A 21902-nucleotide genomic window follows, 5' to 3' on the forward strand; every position below is an offset into this window, starting at 1 on the left:
TGTGCTAGTAACTGGAGAACATGACTTTTAAAGTGTGACACCCATTAGTGAGTGGTGAGGTCTTTGCAGTGGACCACTACCATCTTCTTTTTCAGTAAAACAGATCAGACACACATCTTTATTAGGAGTAAACAAAGTCTTCTGAAACTTTTGTTTCAATATGTAAGTATGTATGTATGTATTGGGTTTCATATTATTTATCACTCTAAGTTGAAATTTTTTAAATTTTATATACAAAAGCATAAGAAAAATTTCAAAATCATAATTCAACTGGGGAGTAGAGAGTGAATAAAAATTAGCTTTTCATGATTACATATAAATAAAAATCCATTTAAAAATAAATTTAAAGATGTAGAGATAAGAGAATAAGTGTCAAAACTATGTCACAACACAGGATGTACTATAGCAAGTCTGGACAGGAACAACACTGAGTGCTGGAGAACTTGGAAAGGCTTCACAAACAGATGGAACTGAGAGTTGCTTCCAAGATGGCCGAATAGGAACAGCTCCGGTCTACAGCTCCCTGCGAGATCGATGCAGAAGGCGGGTGATTTCTGCATTTCCATCTGAGGTACCTGGTTCATCTCATTGGGACTGGCTGGACAGTGGGTACAGTCCACGGAGGGTGAGCGGAAGCAGGGTGGGGCGTCCCCTCACCCGGGAAGCGCAAGGGGTCAAGGGATTTCCCTTTCCTAGCCAAGTGAAGCTGTGAGTGACTGTACCTGGAGGAAGGGTACACTACTGCCCAAATACTGTGCTTTTCTGACGGTCTTTGCAACCGGCAGACCAGGAGACTCCCTCCCGTGCCTGGCTTATGGGTCCCACGCCCAGGGAGCCTTGCTCGCTGCTAGCACAGCAGTTTGAGATTGACCTGGGACGCTGGAGCTTGGCAGGGGGAGGGGCGTCCGCCATTGCTGAGGCTTGAGTAGGTGGTTCTGTGCTTACAGCATAAAGCAGCAGGGAAGCTTGAACTGGGCGGAGCCCACCACAGCTCAGCAAGGCCTACTGCCTCTCTAGATTCCACCTCTGGGGGCAGGGCATATCTGAACAAAAGGCAGCAGACAGCTTCTGCAGACGTAAACGTCCCTGCCTGACAGGTCTAAGAGACCAGTGGTTCTCCCAGCATGGTGTTTCGAGCTCTGATAACAGACAGACTGCCTCCTCAAGTGGGTCCCTGACTGGGAGTGCAGCCTGACTGGGAGACACCTCCCAGTAGGGGCCGACAGACACCTCATACAGGCTGGTGCCCCCTGGGACAAAGCTTCCAGAGGAAGGATCAGGCAGCAATATTTGCTGTTCTGCAGCCTCTGCTGGTGATACCCAGGCAAACAGGGTCTGGAGTGGACCTCCAGCAAACTCCAACAGACCTGCAGCTGAGGGGCCTGTGAGAAGGAAAACAAACAAACAGAAAGGAATAGCACAAACAGATGGAACTAAACAAGCCAGGCTTTGACTCTTTCTTTAGGGGTATTTTCATTATAGCTTTTCATGTTGGTACAATGAAAACCCTGAACTACAAAGAGTAGGCATTTAAACGTTCCAACCGCAGGCTGGGCAGGGGACTGGGTGACAGCCTTCAAACCAGGAGGCTGCATTCGTGTCCCCATTCTAATATAAACTAAACTACTGAGCCACTGCAATAAAACACTGCCTCAGTTTTCTCATCAGCAAGACAGGAGACCAGATTTGTAGCACCTATTGCAAACCCAAAATGCTACAATTCTAAAATAGCAGCACTACTGTAGAGTTACCAAAGTTTAAATTTAGAACAAATATTTGTTCTAAACATTTGAGCTCCAAATTACTAATCTGCAAAAAAGGGCAAACAAGACTTGCAACATGGCTTGTTTCTGTGAAAAATGTATAGAAGATGTTCAGAACAATGCCTGGCACAACAGGCACAAAGCAAACTTCCTTTGCCCATCTTCCTCCATCCCAACTACAATGCCATCTATTACTCCTTCCTTCAGATGAGTCTTTCAAAAAACACAGTCCTGACACAATTTCTGTGGCTGGGAGGGAAAGTATCTGGGGGTTCTGCACTGATCTGCAGTCATCCTAAGAGTCTTGGTCTATACTTCCTCCTCTAGTGGCCTCCTCTATGTTAAAACAAAAAACAAGCTTTTGATCTGTAAATGTTCACAATGAGACAATGAGCTACTGAAAGAAATCTCATAGTTTTTAACTATCCCATCAAAGTTAAAATGTGCACCATAAAAAGTAGAAGGGTCTAGACCTAAAACTGGCATTGCACCATTGTGGTACACATGGCAGAAGCTTGCAAAAGGCTTAAAATCAGAAATCGGCACAAAGCAAAGTGACCCTCAGTAAGATATATGGTACCAATGACATAAAAGGGAACAGAGAGGTTCAGCTGCCAACACTAATGGAGAAGTCAGAACATGTTGCTAAGTCTGAGAGAAATGAAATATTGTACAACCAGTTATCAAGCTCTAATAATCACATGATCAAAGGGCCTTTGCCTCTATTCCTATCACAGGTCTTCTGAAAACCATTTGTTCCATTGCAGGAAGAAAGAGAAACAATATAATTTTGCCGTCCAGTAGTGTTTATGTTTGTGTATACATCCCATTCTCCCACCTACCCTCCATATCCCTCCTAAAAATCTTCAACCTGATAGGGAAGATTTCTGGCAAGTTCTCAAAAACTGAATTTCTTCCCAGAAGAAATTAAAAGTAGTTTACTTTCTCCTTCAACTGCCACCACAGAAGCACATATGTAACATATTAAACATCTAAATTTCTCATCTCTTCAGAAAAAATCCAATTCTATGATTAATCACTGCGCAAGTAACTGCAAATTTAAATTTACTCAGAGGACTCCACTTATGTAATAAAAAACAAGTTACATATCTGAATCAATATTATAATTCACTGCTAAATAACTAAGCCAAAACCAACAGGCATGTAATTTTAACTTTCAAAAGTTCAAACGTCCACTAGAAACTCAATGTTCCTATTAGACATGTCAAAAAGCACAGTATTCCGATTATTTTATTCAGTATTTTCAATGAAAAGTTTCACCACATAATTCATGGCTAAATGTGTTATAGAGAATATTTAGAGAGAACAAAAGAAGATTCGGATTTACCTTAAGTCTTTTAACTCAGTCAAGATATGGAAATATAAGATCACTGGATGCCAAAAAAATAAACGAACGAAAAACAAGCTTTTGATCTGTAAATGTTCACAATGAGACAATGAGCTAATGAAAGAAATCTCATTACTTCATCTCTGTTAGAAGTAACAGTAGTAATAATACTGGCTTTTCCAAGAACCACTCTGTCAAGCCTTCACATTTGGCTTAACAATAACATCAAAAGGAAAATTCTCAAATATGACCAAACTCAGCATAAGAACATACTTGAGTGCACGATGAAACTTTACAGATCCTACTTTCCTAACAATACAAAAAACTTTCAAAAAATTAATAAAATACTCTCATGGATAGCTAACATTTAAAACATAACTATATCTGAACTCCGTAACTGGCACCTTACCTAAGGCAAAAAGGGTGGGCAAGATGTGTTTTTTCAGCATCTTCACATTGTCTTCAATGCAGGGATTCACCCACTTTGGTGAACAAATTACAAGAATGTTTCATCAAGCTCTTTCTACCATATTCTTGATAATTTCTATATCTATTCCACCAAATAATGTTTCAGCTCTATAAAAAGCAAGGATCCCTGGATTGCCACCCTGCGTACCCTTCAGACACCTGACTTGGATAACAGATTTCTGTGATTATGCTCAGTGAGAAAACCTGTGTTGATGCTTTTCCACTTATAAAAACATGAACGCTTCTATTTTTCCCAGCACCTATGTTACAGTATAATAAAGTATCTGTAAAGTACCTACCACTCCTGAGAAGAAAATCACTATATAAATACAAGGTATTATTAAGTTCAAGTGAAACCAAAATCAACAAATTACATTATGGACTGACTTAGTTTAATAGTAACGGAGTTCATACTCCAGATTCCATATGCAGACTCTGACTCACCCTAATAAAAAGCAAATTATCATCAAACTTACATAGTTTTATCAAATACTCGGAATATTCCATACACTTCAAATAAAAAAAAGTACTCATATTGTGAACTATCTAGAAAGAGTTCTTCATTCTTACCACAATAAGAAAGTGACCTGTAGCTCTTTCCGTGTCACTGAGACAACAGGAATATTATATTAAACCACAGTTAAGTGGAAAGAACAAAGCAGCATCTCTGCCAGTCCTGTTTTCTAGACCTCGATTCCCCTGACCTATAAAATGTGGTTCTCTCTTACCATTTTCCAGCTATAAAACTGTGGAAGAACTGAAAACAACTTTTAAGTTCTGCAAAAATAAAAACCATTCTTAGTAACCACACCATCAACAGCTCATAAAATGACAGTGTCACTCTAAAGCTATGCGTAGGCCAGGTGCAGTGGTTCATGCCCATAATACCAGCACTTTGGGAAGTCAGAGCAGGAGGACTGCTTAAGGCCCGGAGTTCTAGAGAAGGCTGGGCAACATAGCAAGACTCTGTCTCTACAGAGGATGTTGTGGAGCACGCCTGTAGTCCCAGCTGTTCGGGAGGCTGAGGCAGGAGGATCATTAAGCCCAGGAGTTCGAGGCTGCAGTGAACTATGACCTGGGCGACAGAGTGAGACCCTATCTCTTAATAATAATAATAGCAAATAAAAATAAATGTATGCATAATTTTTGTGAAGGATGTTAGAGAAATGCTGCAAAGAACTTTATTCCATTAATGTAGTTTCGGTCTTTTCAACAACAAGAAAGCACCACTCTTTGATAAATGGTGGGGAAGTAGAAAAGAACTGGCTGCCAACTGGCATGAAGCACGGTCACATCCAAAACATACGAGTGGAGTGACCAACATGAAAAATGGCAGAGTAGAAAGCTCCCAGGGTTAGTCCTTCCACCAAAACCATTAAGCTGAAAAATACATCAGAATCAACTATTCTGAACCTTAGAACCTAATCAGACATTAAACACCCAGGGCAGTAGTTGATGAAGGGAGAAGAGAGCACAGCATGCAAACCAGCTACTATTCCCTACTCCTCAGCATCCCCAGAGGCGGGCACAGGACCACCTCCTAGAGCAGCTGCCTAGTAACAGGGCTGGCAGCGGGAACCTTGCCCTCAACAATTTAGGATTGTGCATTTTGCTCAGTTCTGGCAGTAGCCTGGGGAAACAGCACAGATTCTTGCTTTTGTTTCTGTCCCCTTAGGCTGCAACCTTTCTTGTTTTTTTCCCTTTATTGAGGGGGATGGGGATCCAGACATTATACTAAATCTCTATCAAGTCATAGCTGTCCAGAGATAGTAAGACAGAAACTTCAGTGACCACACACAACAAGGAATACAGACTTTGCAAAACTGGTTTAGAAAAGTCATTATACAAATGGATGACTGCAAGCCTCAAAAAAGCAATCACTGAGGAGGTGGAGAATCTGATTTTCAGAGTCACCACATTACAACATTCAAACTGTTCAGTTCTCACACACACACAAAAAAAATCACAAAACATGCCAAAAAAAAAAAAAAAGGAAAATATGGTGTATTTGCAGGAAAAAAGAATTTGACAGAAACCATCCCTGAGGAATTCCAGACACTGGAATGACTAGTCAAAGGTATTATTAAATCAATCGTATCAACGGTATCACACTGGGGTCCCAAAACAAGAGCTGAGCACGCTTACTTCCCCACGACTAACGTGGTTTTTTCAGTGAGTCACTTGTTGAAATCTCAAATTTCCTGGATGAGAACCATTTCTGCAGGGATCAAATGAGGTCAAATCACAAGTCCAAAAAGATTACACAAGTATCACAAGTCCAAAAGATTAGCTAATTCTTGAAGGCAACAACATTTAAATTCCACCACTTTGCTTCAGCAAGCCGTGACGCTTAAAAACAAGGGTGTCAGAAAAATTCTGGATGAAAAGATCAGTTCATGAAAGTAAGGAAGGAATAGTGTTGTGCAGCTATAGAAATAACAAGAGCTGAATGACACTCAAAGTTTATGTGTGGCATTTTCAAAATGCAGTAAAATTCATTTTTTAAAATAAGCACAGATTTACATATGTTAAACACAATTTGAATACAAATTCAGAATGCAGGAAGCAGTCAATATGGGAACTTGAGTGTGGGTACATTACAAAGAAGAAAGGTAAGAACTGGTAAGAGACACTTTAGCCATAGCAGGCCAGAAGGCTGCACAGGTGTGAAACCCTCCTGGTGAGAGGGTGAGCAGTGAGCTCCACCACCACTTCTCAAACCACGTGACTCTGGGTGAGTCACTTTCTCAGTCTTAGTTTCCTCACCATATCATACAGGAAAATACCTACTCTGCCTACCTCGGGGTTACAGAAATCAAATAGTGAATGTGAAAGTGCTGTAAAACGTAAAGCATTATGTAAAGGTATGACTAGAAACATGAGTCATTTGGATTTTTCTAAGTAATCATTTTACCAAAGTGAGCAACGTGATGGAAACTTGCCCCAGTAGAGTGAAGTACCTTGTTCAAGTACACTTGGTTTTGAAAGCCACTATGTAAATGGAAAAGAGACCACTCTTTAACCTATGTAAAAGTCTGAGGTTAGCTTCCTATGGACAGTTAAAATATCAGAACAAGCACCAAATCCCTTTCATATGCTTTGTATAAAACCTTTTATTTTATAAGTACTCTAAGTTCACAATCTAAAAATAATTCAAACTGTAAAGAGGGTGTAAAACTCAAAGTATTATTCACCACTCCCTCTCTTAAGGTTCATTTCCCTGGAGACAATACCCATTAACGGTTTTAGTTCTTAATAATGATTATCATAACTTTAAATAATATATTGCATGCCTCAGTCAACAGCTCTTAATTCTGTGCTTTTGCAAGAAGAGAAATTGACACACACACTACCTCCCAACTCTCCTTCCACAGGCCACCTCCTAATTTTTATTACGTGTCACTGGGTAGAGTATTGTTCTAGTGCTTCTACTGGTTCTACATCTAAATCTTTAGCTAGATTTACCAATTCTCATATAGCACGTAAGAAATCCGGGCTATGAAACAAAAGGAAATAAGCACATTCACCTTTCCTGCTATCCCTCATTTCCTCCACCTCCCAGCCACTTACTCATATATTCAGGGATTATAACATTTACATTAGCTTCTATAATTATATCTTCCATGCTTTATCTTTGGTGTATTCAAAAAGCAATTAACTAGAAAGAGTAGATACTTGAAGGGTAGCTAATGTGTGCAAAGGAGATTGGCTTATGAAGTAGAGAGGGGCCAGTAGAAATGTTAGTAACTTCAAACAAGAAAATTTTAGTTACACATGTTAAAAAATGTATAGGTTACTAGCAAAACATAAAATATCATTCCAATAAAAAGCAGTACAGGAAGGCAAAAAAAAAGAAAAGAAAAAGAAAAAGCAAAGGAACAGAAATATAGCCCTCACTCATTAAATTACTGCCCCTCGAAGGAGACTCTTCCATGTTCCAATCTCTTGGTTGTCCTCAAGTGTCTGGAAATCCCTGGTTGGCTGTACGGCTTTGTGAATGAAAGATGGTTAGTGTAAGTATCTCAAGAGGGTTTCCTCTGCATTTGCGTAGGTCTGGCTGTCCTAAAAGATCGTTGGTTTCAAGTTCTATGTGTGTGAGGAGCTGGTGGGCACGTTAACAAGAAGAGCAGTACTCAGAATAGGAATGTCCTTGTCCTGTGTCTGCTGTAAAAACCAAAGTGCTATGTATGAGCTCTTCTCTGCTCTCTCCACTCTCACGCACTCCTCAGACAAAAGATCACCCACTTTCTGGCAAGACCATGACTCTAGCCTTATCCTAAAGGTGAAAGCCTGGCAAACCAGCCACTCTGAAGGGGACAGAAAGGAGGCTCCATTGAGCCAGCTATTCTGAATGAACTTCTTTAATTACCATGGTGATGGCAACACAGCCATGCTCCTACTATGAACTGTTGATTCCAAACTCAAGCTTCCACCAGGGCTCTCTCAAGAAGCCCAGGGTCAGCTGTTAACTAACACTTATTAATTATTCTCTCTCCTGCTGTAACTTTTTCTACTAGCTGTTGTCTCTCTAATCCTATTTACTATCTTGCAATCCTCTAGGAATCCTCAAAAATATCTGATCTATTAATAACACAGTCTATCCTCTAGCTCTATTCCAGTTCAATAAACTTAACGCAAACACCACACTCACCACACTCACATGACATCTTTCTGTTATTTCTATAAAAATTTTAGAATGGGTGTGCACATGCTTAGACTGATCTCAGGATCCTTTATAACATAGTTTAACAAGAATAGTATTACTTCAAAGTAGTCTACTCTTCCCAGAATATAAATTATCATCTAAATTACGTAAAAAGCTTTGCTAGTAAACATCTACAATACCATCCTGGCTAACATGGTGAAACCCCGTCTCCACTAAAAAATACAAAAATTAGCCGGGTGTGGTGGCGGGCACCTGCAGTCCCAGCTACCGGTGGGGCTGAGGTAGGAGAATGGCATGAACCTGGGAGGGCGGAGCTTGCAGTGAGCCAATATCGCGCCACTGCGCTCCAGCCTGCGACAGAGCAAGACTCTGTCTCAAAAAAAAAAAAAAAAAAAAATTCTACAATAATGGGAGAAATACCTGGAGCTAAATCAATCTGATCGGAAACTCTCAGCCCATACCAAAGCAGGTTTCATTCAGACCACTATTTCACTAATAATCACCAACAGTTTTCTTAAATACTACATATAGAAATGTAAAAAAAAATTATATTCAGAAAAATGTCCTAATTTTATTCTAATTTATAAAGCAATATTTGGGGCTGGGAGTGGTGGCTTGTGCCTGTAATCCCAACCCTTTGGGAGGTCAAGGCAATAGGATCACGTGAGCCCAGGAACTTGAGACCAGCCTGGGCAACACAGTGAAATCCCATCTCTAAATAAATAAAATAAAAACATCAGCTGGGCATGCCCATTAGGTGGTACATGCCTGTAGTCCTAGCTACTTGAGAGCCTGAGGCAGGAGGATGGCTTCAGCCCAGGAGTTCAAGGCTGCAGTGAGCTATGATCAGGCCACTGCACTCCAGCCTGGGTCACAGAGCCAGACCCTGTGAAAAATAAATGTTTAATTAGTCACACATTATGACTGAAATGTGTGACTGCCCTATAAATGAAAAAGACTAAAGAAGCTCTCTCTATAGGGTTACTAACAACTTATAGGACAGAATTTGGAGAAAGGTAGCATAAAAGAAAGCGTTTTGATCAAAAGCAGTTCAATTTCTAAAATTTCTCTATCACATTTGGCTTGCCATATAAGCTCATTCTCTATTATATTCTGAAAAGAGACACAGAAAAAAAGAGGAGAATAAGTCAGCAACTGAGAGGGTGGAAAAATAAAATTTCAATGAGTTTCAAGGTAAGAAAACATACTTTGCCATGCCCACATAAAAGGTAAGCTGTCTCCCAAATCTGTCAGAAAAGAGAAGAGTTACTTTCTAATCAGGTCCCCTAAAGTCTTCCATATTACAAAATATACTCTCTCAATTACTTCATTTTGAACAACAAAGGGTTGTCCAAGGAACTCTCATGAGCCTAAAAAAACCTCAAATAAACAATTATGAGTGCCATTAAAGAAGAACTTGAACAGTTTATTAATTATGCCTAGAGATTTGATGTCATGATTGTACAAGATAGACGTCATAATAGATAAGCCATCTTCAATCAGTTTTATAAAAAGACTAGGTCAGTAATTAATGATCTATTAAGTGGGGATATTAGCTAACAAAAAAAATTGTCAATATTATAGAAATGGAAATGCTATCCCAAGCCATACTCACTGACACCATCAAAAATGAATTTTAAAGTGCCGTAAACAGACGTACACTTAAATGAAAGTAGACATGTTCTAACTAAATGTTTCACAGATGCTGAAGATATCTATGAACAGTTCAAATAAAAATATATCCTAAAACAAGGCCAGGTGCTGTGGCTCATGACTGCAATCCCAGCACTTTGGGAGGACGAGGTGGGCAAATCCCTTGAGCCCAGAAGTTTGAGACCAGCCTGGGTAACATGGTGAAAGCCCATTTCTACTAAGAAAAATACAAAAATTAGCTGGCATGGTGGAGTGCGTCTGTAGTCCCAGCTACTCAGGAAGCTGAGGTGGAAAAATCAATAGCTGAAGGCAGAGGTTGCAGTGAGCCGAGACCACAAAACCTGGGCAATAAAGCAAGCCTGTCTCAGATAAATAAATAATCATAAAATGAAAACATTTAGAATTTATTTTGTTTGATCTCAAATCTCTATCGTAACAACATTTATAAATTTTTTAAGTAAACTTTTAATTATATCTCAATCCCTAAACATTTATATACTCAAACGTTTAAGTATTGGGTCTATGGAGGCCGGGCATGCTGGCTCACGCCTATAATCCCAGCACTTTCGGAGGCCGAGGCAGATGGATTACTTGAGGCCAGGAGTTCGAGACCAGCCTGGCCAACATGGTGAAACTCCATCTCTGCAAAAAATCCAAAAAACTTAGCCGGGCATGGCAGCACACGCCTGTAATCCCAGCTACTAGGGAGGCTGAGACATGAAAATTGTTTGAACCAGGGTGGCAAAGGTTGCAGTATGCCGAGATTGCGCCACTGCACTCCAGCCTGGGTGACAGAGTGAGACTCTGTCTCAAAAAAATAAATTAAATAAATATTAGTCTAAAGAATATATAAATTACAAATCTGCTGCTATTATACATATGGGTATATAACCACATGTAAACACTTACTGCCAGAAGCTAGCTAGGGAGGGGAGAAGGCAGCAAAGAAGGAAAACATGCTTTTCTTTACTTTCCAAGTTGAAGTTTAAAATATCCCATCCCAAAACACATGAACTTTGTTTTAACAGGGCTCATTTTACATAAAATTCAGGCAGCACCATGGGTTCTGCTGTAGGATTCTCAAATGATTCCTGCCCTGAGATCAAAATATTATTTTAAACAGACCCCAATTTTCTGTCACACTGCTGAGAGTGGGAGAGTTAGGTGATTACAATAAAGTAAACCGCTTTCCATGTTCTGTTTAACCCACTGCCTTCCTTTCAAAACAAACTGTGACCGTTAGAGAAGCACCAAAACTTCAAGGCTCCTAAGTCCAAGTCTACAACAAGAAGAAAACAGACCTTAATAAAGACCCTTGGCGGGGCGCGGTGCTCACGCCTGTAATTACCCAGCACTTTGGGAGGCAGGTGGATCACCTGAGGTCAGGAATTCGAGACCAGCCTGGCCAACATGGCGAAACCCCATCTCTACTAAAAATACAAAAATCAGCCGGGCATGGTGGCGCATGCCTGTAATCCCAGCTACTCAGGAGGCTGAAGCAGGAGAATCGCTTGAACCGGGGAGGCGGAGGTTGCAGGGAACCAAGATCATGCCACTGCACTCCAGTCTGGGCAACAAGAATGAAAGCCCGCCTCAAATAAACAAATACATACATACATACATACCCTTTAGGTAATTCAAAAAAGTGAAATTCTTCTTCAATGGAGAGAATAGATAGGTAATTATCCTAGGTTAGTTTGTAGAGTCAACTCACGTTAAATTAGAGAAGACAGACTTTTCTGACTTCTAAGTGTATACCTATGTTTAGCTTTCCAAATATGTACTGACTACCCACAAGGCACCACTAGGCTAAAACTTGATATATGCATTATATGGTCCATATGCTCAGGGAGCATTCAGTATAAAAAAAGGAAAACCTAGATCAAACATATTAAAAAGGTAAAAATACAATATTTAAGTAATAAAATGATATTTGGGATTTGCCCCTAAAGAATCTGGGAAGGTTTAAGTTAGAGGGAGTAAAAAAGACACAACATTGGTCAAGAGGTGTTTTTTGCGTTAACTAAAGCATGATAGGTGCTTGGGGGTACATAATACTATTTTGTCTACTTCAATATACATTTAAGTTTTCCCATAATAAAAAAACACTAGATATGGTTAAAGCAAAATACATGATTAACTGCCAAATAAGTGACAAAGATATTGAACAAAGATAGTGAACAAACTGCATTTGTTCAGAAAGAGACACCCCTTCACATTAGGTGATGTGTGCCAGTAGTCTTCCATATTACAAAATATATTCCCTCAATTCCTTCATTTTGAACAAAGGGTTGTCCAAGGAAGCCTCATGAGCCTAAAACAACCTCAAGTAAACAATAATTCTAGGTGTCATTAAAGAAGAACCTGAACACTTTAATTATGTTTAGAGATAGGTCATGATTATACATGATAGATGTCATAATAAATCAGCCATCTTCAATCCGCTTTATAAAAAGACTCAGTTATCAATGATCTATTAAGTGGGGATATTAGTAAACAAAAAAAATCAATTGTCAATATTATAGAAATGGATATGCTATCCCAAGCCACAGTACTCACTGTGCTCACCATCAAAAATGAATTTTAAAGTGCTGTAAATAGATAGATGTATACTTAAATGAAAGTAGACATGTTCTAACAAACTATACTAGATTTCACAAAAATAATCATAAGTAAGATACCACACTGATTAAACCTCAGTCAGAGACTTCTCACTGATAAGCTATTGTGAATGCAGTGCTGTGGTGGGCAGAAATTAAAGTGTTCCCCCGATCTCAGCCTGCTAGTATCCATGCCTTTGTATAATTGCCTCCCCTGGAATATGGGCAGGACCTGTGAATTGCTTCTAACCAGTAGAAAATGACGGAAGAGATGGGATGTCACTTCTGTGACTATGTGACATAATGTAAGACTCCATACTGCTAGCAGACTTGCTCCCTGACTCCCTCATTGGCTTGGAAGGAGCAAGCTGCCGCGCTGAGAGGACTTATGGAGAGGGCCACATGGCGAGGAACCGTAGGCGGCCTCTCAGCACTGAGGGCAGCTGCCAACTAGGAACCAGAAAAAGCCTAGAGCCTTCACTTAGTCTTAACAGCTGCAAGAAAACATTCAGCCAGCACCCTAAGTGAGCTTGAAAGCAGATCCATTACCAACTGCAACTGCAGATGTGACCTGAGCCCTGGCCAGCACACTGAGTACAGCCTTGCAGAGGGCACGGCTTACCTACAACAGAAACTGTTATATAACATGAGTTCACTTCAGCTGCTCAATTTGTGATAATTTGTTACACAGCACAGAAGAATACTGCTACCATCCATTTAACTATAAACTTTTGCTCCTATATGGCAAACATACTCCGAAAGGCTCAGGGAGCTGAGAGGCCGAAGAAAGAGGCTAACAAATCCAGTTTCTCAGAAAGAAAAATTTAACAAAGATGTATGAACAAGTCTATTAAAGGCCTGAAAATTCCAGGAAAGGCTCAGATGGTAAATTTATGAACAGAAGCAATGTCTTGGGCAGCTGAGAGATGGTGTATCCCCTGTATCGCCCTCCAGAAAACACCTTTTATAGAGCAAGCTTTTAGGGCAAACACATGAGCAGCTTGACATGCCTCAGACTTTCTTAGGAAACCTGTGACCACTGGAGAGGTTAGATAAGCACCTCCATGAGGCATTATCAATGCTACAGGCATTGTTTTTGACTTTGCTGCGGGAAAGCCTTGGTATGCAGGAGTCAAACACTGGTCATTATGACTGGTTTCACTTCAAGATGGTGTCACTCTTGCCATGTGACAGGCTGTTTACCTACAATTTTTTTCGTATTTTCAGTTTGAAAGTGCCACATTTGCTATGTTTCAGGTAGTGTTTGCCTTTTCAGTTATTCTACTATTACTCCCTTTGAGTTTAAAGAAATGTTAATTCTAGAATTCCAGGATACAACAGAGAAACCCATATTCACCCTGTAACAGAGTGACCATATGTCCCACTTTGCCAGAAAGTTTGCACCAGTTGTCATGGCATAATTAATAGCATGCCTTTCCATTCCCAAGGTGTCACAGTTTCAACGGTAAGGTGTATGATCATTCAGCCTTACAATCGCATCCTATATATTAACCAGTATCTTCCCAAGGAAGATTCTTATTCTTTTTACTTTGTTACACTTGCATCCATTTCTAATATCAGTAACATTTTGCTGGACTTTTCCCAGATTTATGATTTCTTTGGGAAACCAGTTCAACATACAGATCAAGATACCATACCTAACATGCAGACACACTTAACAGAGCTTTCTATGTATCGATTCATACCTTACCCTTCATCTGAGTAATTAATTTCTATAATGCTGATATACCCTATATTCCTACAACTGTAATTTTCCTACAGCTTACGCTACATACTAGCATCAAATTGTTTTTTAAAATAGTCACTCTTGGCTGGGTGTGGTGGCTTACGCCTGTAATGCCAGCACTTTGGAAGGCGGAGGCGGGAGGATCACCTGAGGTCAGGAGTTTGAGACCAGCCTGGGCAACATGGTGAAACCCCATCTCTACTAAAAATACAAAAATCAGCTGGGCATGGGGCTGTGCACCTGTGGTCCCGGCTACTCAGGAGGCTAAGGCAGGAGAATCGCTTGAACCTGGGAGGCGGAGGCTGCAGTGAGCCGAGATCGCGCCACTGCACTCCAGCCTGGGAGAAAGAGCAAGACTCCATCCCCCAGAAATAAAAATATAGTCACTCTTGTATAAACTGATAATGAAAATAGAGCTCTCCTATAGCAATTTCATACATGCAAGTCCCACCCTAAATTCTTTCATGTACAAATAAATGCAGGTGAAGTCACATACAAGTGCTAACATGTACTCACCTAGACTGATTCACATATTTATTTTAAAAACATTTTCTTATATGGCTTATGTGTGCCAGGAACTATGCTAAGGACAGGTGATACAAAGTTATGACTTATCCTTACAGAAAGGGAAACAGAGTTTCTGCCTTTGTTGTTCACAGACAATAAACAAGTGATAGTAAAAAAGATGTTCTAACATACTTGTTTCTCAAAAAGGTTCTACTAATTACCCTCTAACAGAGTAAAATAAAAATTAAAACTGCACTCCCTACCTGCAAAATACATTTCTATTGTACTTACATTAAAAATTACACTATGCAACATAAAAAGCTATTGACAAAGCTCATTTCAAGTTTCTCATCTAATGCAATTCTAATCCCCAAAATAGTTTTTTTTCCCTACGTGTTTTGAGTAGGGCAGAATAAACAAAAAGACATAAAACTCATGCAATGTCCCCTGAAAGCAAAGATGTTGTGTAGTGACTGGAGGGAGCGAAACAGTGGTTTCAGAAGTACTGATGACGTTCTATTTCTTAATATTGGAGCTAGTTGCATAGTACACGTGTAGTTTGTCTGAAAACTCATTGAAGTTTACATTTATGTGAAATTTTCATTTTCAATTCAGCACAGTTATGAAAACACACAGTCAAAACTTTTAGAATATGAAATCTTAAATCTACATCAATAAGGAATATTAAGCAAAGAAGTATTTTTTCATGCTTCTATGCCTACAGACACTATAGGGCACAATAACAATAGTGTAATAGTCTAGGTACCATTTATTAAGTGCCTAGGTTAGGCCAAGGACTCTACTAGGAACTTTATATACATCATGTACCCTCAAAATAACCTTAGAAGATACTATCCTAATTTTATAAGTAACAAAACTGAAGTCTTCTCTGTAAGTCAGCACTTCAAATCCTAAACAGAGCAGAAATTTGATTAATGCTATTCTTTCTTCATATATAAAGCAATTTTAGATATAATAAATTCAAAGATTTTAACTTAAAATTCCAGTTTTTCAAATTGCAAAATATTCATTTGCTCTAACAAGAGATTAGAGTTGACAATTATGTCCAAGTCAGCTGACAATGATTCTCCAACCAAAATGACACACTAAAATTAGAGTATTACTGAACTTCAGAAACGTCACACAAGAATCTCTCTAACGCCTTTTGTAGCTATTCCAATTAAAAAGATAGAAGATTCGAAGAAAAAAAAAACACTGAGGTTAATGTGATTTGAAATTTTCAGTGTGAAGTCACTTTTTTTTTTTTTTTTTTTTTTGAGATGGAGTCTTGCTCTGTCACCAGGCTGGAGCGCAGTGGCACAACCTCAGCTCATTGCAACAACCTCCTCCCAGGTTCAAGCAATTCTTCTGCCCCAGCCTCCCGAGTAGCTGGGACTACAGGTGCGCACCATCATGCCTGGCTAATTTTTGTATTTTTAGTGGAGACAGGTTTCACCATATTGGCCAGGTTGGTCTCAAACTCCTGACCTCAGGTGATCTGCCCACCTCAGCCTCCCAAAGTGTTGGGATTACAGGCGTGAGCCACCATGTCCGGCTGTGAAGTCACTTTTTAAAACATTTCCTTGCTATGTCCACTAAAAGGAACGTATGATTAAAAACCATGACACCTCTGTAGTAATGAGCACACATAGAATCGGCATCTTGGTTTCTAAATACCATTCTCCACTAAAAGAAATCAAGACACTTTAGAATGTAAGGCTGGAGAAAGGAAGATACAAGATGATTCTATTTTATACCAAGAAGTTAGAAAGTGCTCAAAGAATGATAAAAACATGACAAACAAACACAGGAGCCAGCTTGAAGCTATTGGTCCCATCAGGAACAATTTGGGTATCAAAATCAATAATAATAATGAGTCACATGAACAAAACAAAAGTCCATGCTACTCTAAAAAATAAATGAATAGACAGAAAGGAAGTATTTTTCTTGCAGTAGAATGCCAACTAAAACACAGAGAAGGAATGACAGTCCTACTACTAGTAGAGGTTGAGCATCCCTAATTTGAAAATCTGAACTCCAAAATGTTCCAAAATCTGACTTTTTGAGTGCTAACATAACACCACAACTGGAAAATTCCACACCTGATCTCAACTGATGAGTTGAAGTCAAAACACACTGAAAGAGGCTGGGCGTGGTAGCTCATGCCTGTAATCATGCACTTTGGGAGGCCAAAAAAAAATACAAAAATTAGTTGGGCGTGGTACATGATGGCGTGTGCCTGCAGTCCCAGCCACTTGCAAGGCTGAAGCAGGAGAATTGCTTGAACTCAGGAGGCAGAGGGTGCACTGAGCTGAGATCGTGCCACTACACTCCAGCCTGGGTGACAGAGCGAGACTCTGTCTCAAAAACACACACACAGACACACACACACGCAATGACAGTGAAGACAGTGAAAAGCCTGGCAGGCCAGTAGAAATGGTCTGCTAAAAAATGTATAACCTGAATCTAATCATGAAGAAACAGCAGCCAAACCCAAACTGAGGAACGGTATACCAAACAATTGACTTGTACTTCTCAAAAATGTCCAAGTCGATAAAGACGAAAAAAGGCGGAAGAATAATGATGAAAAGACACTAAAAATGTATGACAAATATAATGCATGATCATCTTTGATACTGGGCATTACTGAGATAACTGATTAAATTTTAAAAATATGCTGTGCATTAGATGACAGCATTGATGTTTTAAATTATACCATCTTTATGAAAGAGAATGTCCCTGTTACTGGGAAATGTGCACTTAAGTTTTTACGAATGTACACACAAATATACATTTGTCAAGCAACTTTAGCAAAACATAAGCAATCACTGGATTTGGGTAAAAGGTATTTGGGAACTTCTTGCATTATTCTTGCAATTTTTCTGTAAATTCAAGATTTATCAAAAAAATTACAGTAGTCAGTTTGGAGGGGCTTCCACTGGCAAAATCGAGACTAATTTGAACATCACCAAAAAGAATGACTGTAATTTATTATCAAAAAACTGTAACACTGAATAAATAAAAATCTATCGTGACACAAAAAAGAAGTGGAAGAGGCCAGGTGCAGTGGCTCTTGCCTGTAATCCAAGCACTTTGGGAGGCCGAGGCAGGCTGATCACGAGGTCAGGAGATCGAGACCATCCTGGCCGACATGGTGAAACCCCATCTCTACTAAAAACACAAAAATTAACTGGGCGTGGTGCCACACGCCTGTAGTCCCAGCTACTTGGGAGGCTGAGGCAGGAGAATCGCTTGAACTGGGGAGGCGGAGGTTGCAGTGAGCCAAGATCACGCCACTGCACTCTAGCCTGGCAACAGAGTGAGACTCCGTCTCAAAAAAAGAAAAAAAAAAAAAGAGTGAAAGAACAATAAAGTAGTAGTCAGCTTGGAGGGTTTCCAGTGGCAAAATCGAGAATAATTTTAACATCATCAAAAAGAATGATTGTAATTGATTATTATCAAACAACTAAACACTGAATAAATAAAAATCTATCATGACACAAAAAAGAAGTAGGAGAACAATAAAGGGGAAAAACTCATTTGCAGCATGGGTAGGGAGTATCACATTGATTCCTTATTCTGAAAACTGGCAACTAAAGACTTCATTATCTACTTTGTCTTTTCTGAAGAAACAACAGTTCAACACTAGTTAATGAGAAAAAGTTCTTCTTTACAGAGGAATGCCTACTAATAAACATGAAAAAAACAACAGAATTAGAAAAATACCATTTTGCAGGGCCCAATAAAATAACTGTAAGTGCCCTAATCATCAATGGGTGTGCTGGAGAAAAAGCTATTGGTCAACTGCCAAATCCCTCAGATTACATGGTAATCTGCAAAGTGAAATATTTCCCTTATGATGAAGACATTGGTGGTCTCCACTTGAATCAAATCATCAAATTCAGCATCACAGAGTGATACAACTGCCATCATGTTCCACATGATAACCTGCAATATGAAGAACACAGTATCACTTACAAATTATTCTTCCCCAAAAATGTTTACTCGCAGTCTAATCAAGCCTTTAGACCTAATTCCCACTTTATAGAAAATATAACGGATAGAAGAGCAAATTAAAAGACACCATAAGGAAATGTTCAGACAAATCCAGATAGTGTCATTCTGTGAGACAATCAGTCTTATCTGTTCAAAAAGTCAGAGGCAGTCCAGGTGCAGTAGCTCATGCCTATAATCCCAGCACTTTGGGAGGCCAAGTTGGAAGGATCACTTGAGGTCAGGAGTTCGAGACCAGCCTGGGCAACATGGGGAAACCCTGTCTCTACTAAGACTATGAAACTTAGCCAGGTGTGGTGGCACATGCCTATAGTCCCAGCCTCTCGGGAGGCTGAGGTGGGAGGATCACTTCAGCCTGGGAGCTGAAGTTGGAGCCGAGACTGCACCACTGCACTCCAGCCTGGGTGACAGAGTAAGACTCTGACTCCCAAAAAAAAAAAGTGTCAGCCAAGTGTGTGGCTCACACCTGTAACCCCAGTGCTTTGGGAGACCAAGGTGGAAGCATCACTTCAGCCCAGTTTGAGACCACCTGGGCAACACAGTGAGACCCCTACCTCTACAGAAAAATAAAGTATTAGCCAGGCATGGTGGTGCATACCTGTAATATTAGCTACTCAAGAGGCTGAGGCAGGATGTTCGCTTGAGCCCAGGAGGTCAAGACTGCAGTGAGCTATTAATATTATCATACCACTGCACTCTAACCTAGGCAACAGGGCAAGACTCTCTTTAAAAAAAAAAAAAAAAAAAAAGGTGGTAGGTCAACTTGAGACTGCTATATATTAAAAGAGACTAAAGATTAAGTATGAGAAATGTAAATACATTTAGCAAAGTAGATAAATTAAAATTTAAAAAGTAATAAAAGAGACTAAAGAGATGTAACAATCAAAAGCATAAACCTAGATGGAATGACTGTGGTTCAAAAAAACAAAACAGAAAGACCACAGAAAACTTTTTTTGGAAGTTTTGTTTTTTGTTGTTTTTTTTTTTTCCCCCAGAAATCGGGAGGAGCTGGACACAGTGGTTCCTGCCTGTAATCCCAGCACTTTGGGAGGTCGAAACAGGCAGATCCTTTAAGCCCAGGAGTTCGAGACCAGCCCGGGTAATAGGGCCAAATCCTGTCTCTACCAAAAAAAGAAAAAAAAAAAATCAGCCAGGCATGGCGGCATATGCCTGTAATCCCAGCTACTCAGAAGGCAGAGGTGGGAGAATCACCTAAGCCCAGGATGTCGAGGCTGCAGTGAGCCACGATCGCACCACTGCATTCCAGCCTGGGCTGGACCCTGCAGCAGAGTGAGACCCTGCAGCAGAGGGGACTTGAACACAAGTCTTGGGCTCTGTATCAAATGTAGCCATCCCACTCTTCACTGAACCTCCTCCTTTCCTTCCAAATCGCAGGTCTCCTCAACTATAGAAGTGTAAGGTATTTCCCAGTGAGTTTCCTTCTTGAAGAATGACAGGTGGCCAAAAACATGAAATTCTGGACCACGTTTTTCTCCATATGGCAATGGTAGCTCCTAAGAATCAACTTTTCTCCATAATGTTGAACTATAGTAACAATAGTGCTAAAACACACCTTACCCATTTGGCCAAGAAATTAAACATTGTTTCCATGGAACACGAATAACAAGCTCCCAACAACTGACTTTAAAAAATCATCTTTAGAAATCAATCAGTTAGGCTTCCTGCATAACCATTTTCTTCCAATGCCTGTTATTCCAGGTTAGTAGCTTTTCAGTTATAAAGATATTTAATAATAACCTAAACTCAAACTAGCTCCCACATTAACTTCAATCTAAATTACTATGCTGAAGGAGTTCATTTAGAATCTGCTCATCACTGTGAAATATCATGATCTCAGACTTAGTTCCCCTGCAATACTCATTTGTCACTTTTATAAAGTTGTTTATCTAGTTGTTTCATAAAGTTGTTTATCTAGTTGTCCTAAAGTCCCTTCTTTATCAACAAAAGTCTGTAACTCTATACCACAAAATTTTGTTATCAATAGAGAAAATGAGAAACAATGAAAAGAAATGTGTCTTGGTCCCCAAGAGGTTACAAAATGGAAGAAAAGCAAAAAAAATCTTGAGAGTACTAGCCCTTATAATTAATGAAATTGTCTACAGAATAATGTTAAGAAAATATTTAATGATCCAGATTTTGTTTTAAAAATCATGTTTGCCATAAACAAACTGAGGGCACACTCACAACAATACCAGTTACAGGTAATTATTAATGGGTTATAGGTGACTTTCAGTTTCTTCTTTACACCTTTTTACACATCACATTACACACTGACTATACTTCTTTTATAATCAATCAAACAGTAAAATTTCTTTAAAAGTACCTATGTAACTAGGCCATGGCTCACTCCTGTAATCCCAGCACTTTGGGAGGATAAGGTAGGTGGATCACTTAAGGTCAGGAGTTCGAGACCAGCCCAGCCAACATGGTGAAACCCTGTGTCTACTAAAAATACAAAAATTAGCCAGGTGTGGTGGTGGGCATCTATAGTCCCAGCTACTCGGGAGACTGAGGCAGGAGAATTACTTGAACCCGTGAGGCAGAGGTTGCAGTGAGCCAAGATCATGCCACTGCACTACAGTCTGGGCAATAAAGCCAGACTCTGTCTCAAAAAAAAGCACCTATGTAATAACGCACACGGCTAAAGGCTAGGGGTATAAGGTAGGGAGAGGAGTGAGCAGTTATGGAGAGGATAGAATCAAGCAATTAGTTAACTACACCCACTTCTAGGAAATGTCAGCCATTATAAGATTAATGCAAAATTAACTTGTAAGTTCCACCACTGCAGAGCTCCGATGTTGGCTTATAAGTAGGTTCAGAGTCAGTTAAAAAGATACCTAAAATGAACCAATTGCTACTCCCCTTGAAAAAGTATGATTCCCTAATTTCCTACCTTGTTTCAGAAGGCACTTAAGATGGCAATATTCCTTTAATTCATCCGTTATGCATTGAACTATGCACCCCCTCCTCTAAATAAAGATAAATTGAACTCCTAATCTTCAGTACTTCATAATGTAACCTTATTTAGAGATAGTCTTTACAAAGCTAATCAAGTTAAAATGAGGTCATGAAGGTAATTCCTAATCCAGTATGACTGGCATCCTGCTATTATAAA

General features: G+C 39.7%; 1 protein-coding gene and 1 long non-coding RNA gene across 3 annotated transcripts in view, besides 3 other annotated features; one reads left to right on the top strand and one right to left on the bottom strand.

Moving 5' to 3' along the window:
• USP12 (ubiquitin specific peptidase 12) overlaps positions 1–21902 on the bottom strand; it is a 105656-nt gene that overhangs the window by 58850 nt on the left and 24904 nt on the right. The window lies entirely within an intron of this gene.
• Positions 528–21902, top strand: part of USP12-AS1 (USP12 antisense RNA 1) — a 43603-nt gene continuing 22228 nt past the window's right edge. The window contains exon 1 of the long non-coding RNA NR_046547.1: positions 528–571. This is a non-coding gene — a long non-coding RNA (USP12 antisense RNA 1). The remainder of the gene's footprint in view (positions 572–21902) is intronic.
• Positions 819–1318: an enhancer, noted in NCBI's record as "H3K4me1 hESC enhancer chr13:27699961-27700460 (GRCh37/hg19 assembly coordinates)". NCBI's record gives its function as "activates a minimal SCP1, AML or CMV promoter by ChIP-STARR-seq in naive and primed H9 embryonic stem cells {active_cell/tissue: H9 hESC(naive and primed)}" and the evidence as "EXISTENCE:reporter gene assay evidence [ECO:0000049][PMID:30033119]".
• Positions 6066–6135: an enhancer, noted in NCBI's record as "active region_7497". NCBI's record gives its function as "activates an Ori minimal core promoter by ATAC-STARR-seq in GM12878 lymphoblastoid cells {active_cell/tissue: GM12878}" and the evidence as "EXISTENCE:reporter gene assay evidence [ECO:0000049][PMID:35858748]".
• Positions 6166–6215: a silencer, noted in NCBI's record as "silent region_5192". NCBI's record gives its function as "represses an Ori minimal core promoter by ATAC-STARR-seq in GM12878 lymphoblastoid cells {active_cell/tissue: GM12878}" and the evidence as "EXISTENCE:reporter gene assay evidence [ECO:0000049][PMID:35858748]".

The sequence above is a fragment of the Homo sapiens genome, chromosome 13 (genome assembly GCF_000001405.40).
Source record: "Homo sapiens chromosome 13, GRCh38.p14 Primary Assembly".
Classification (NCBI taxonomy): domain Eukaryota; kingdom Metazoa; phylum Chordata; class Mammalia; order Primates; family Hominidae; genus Homo; species Homo sapiens.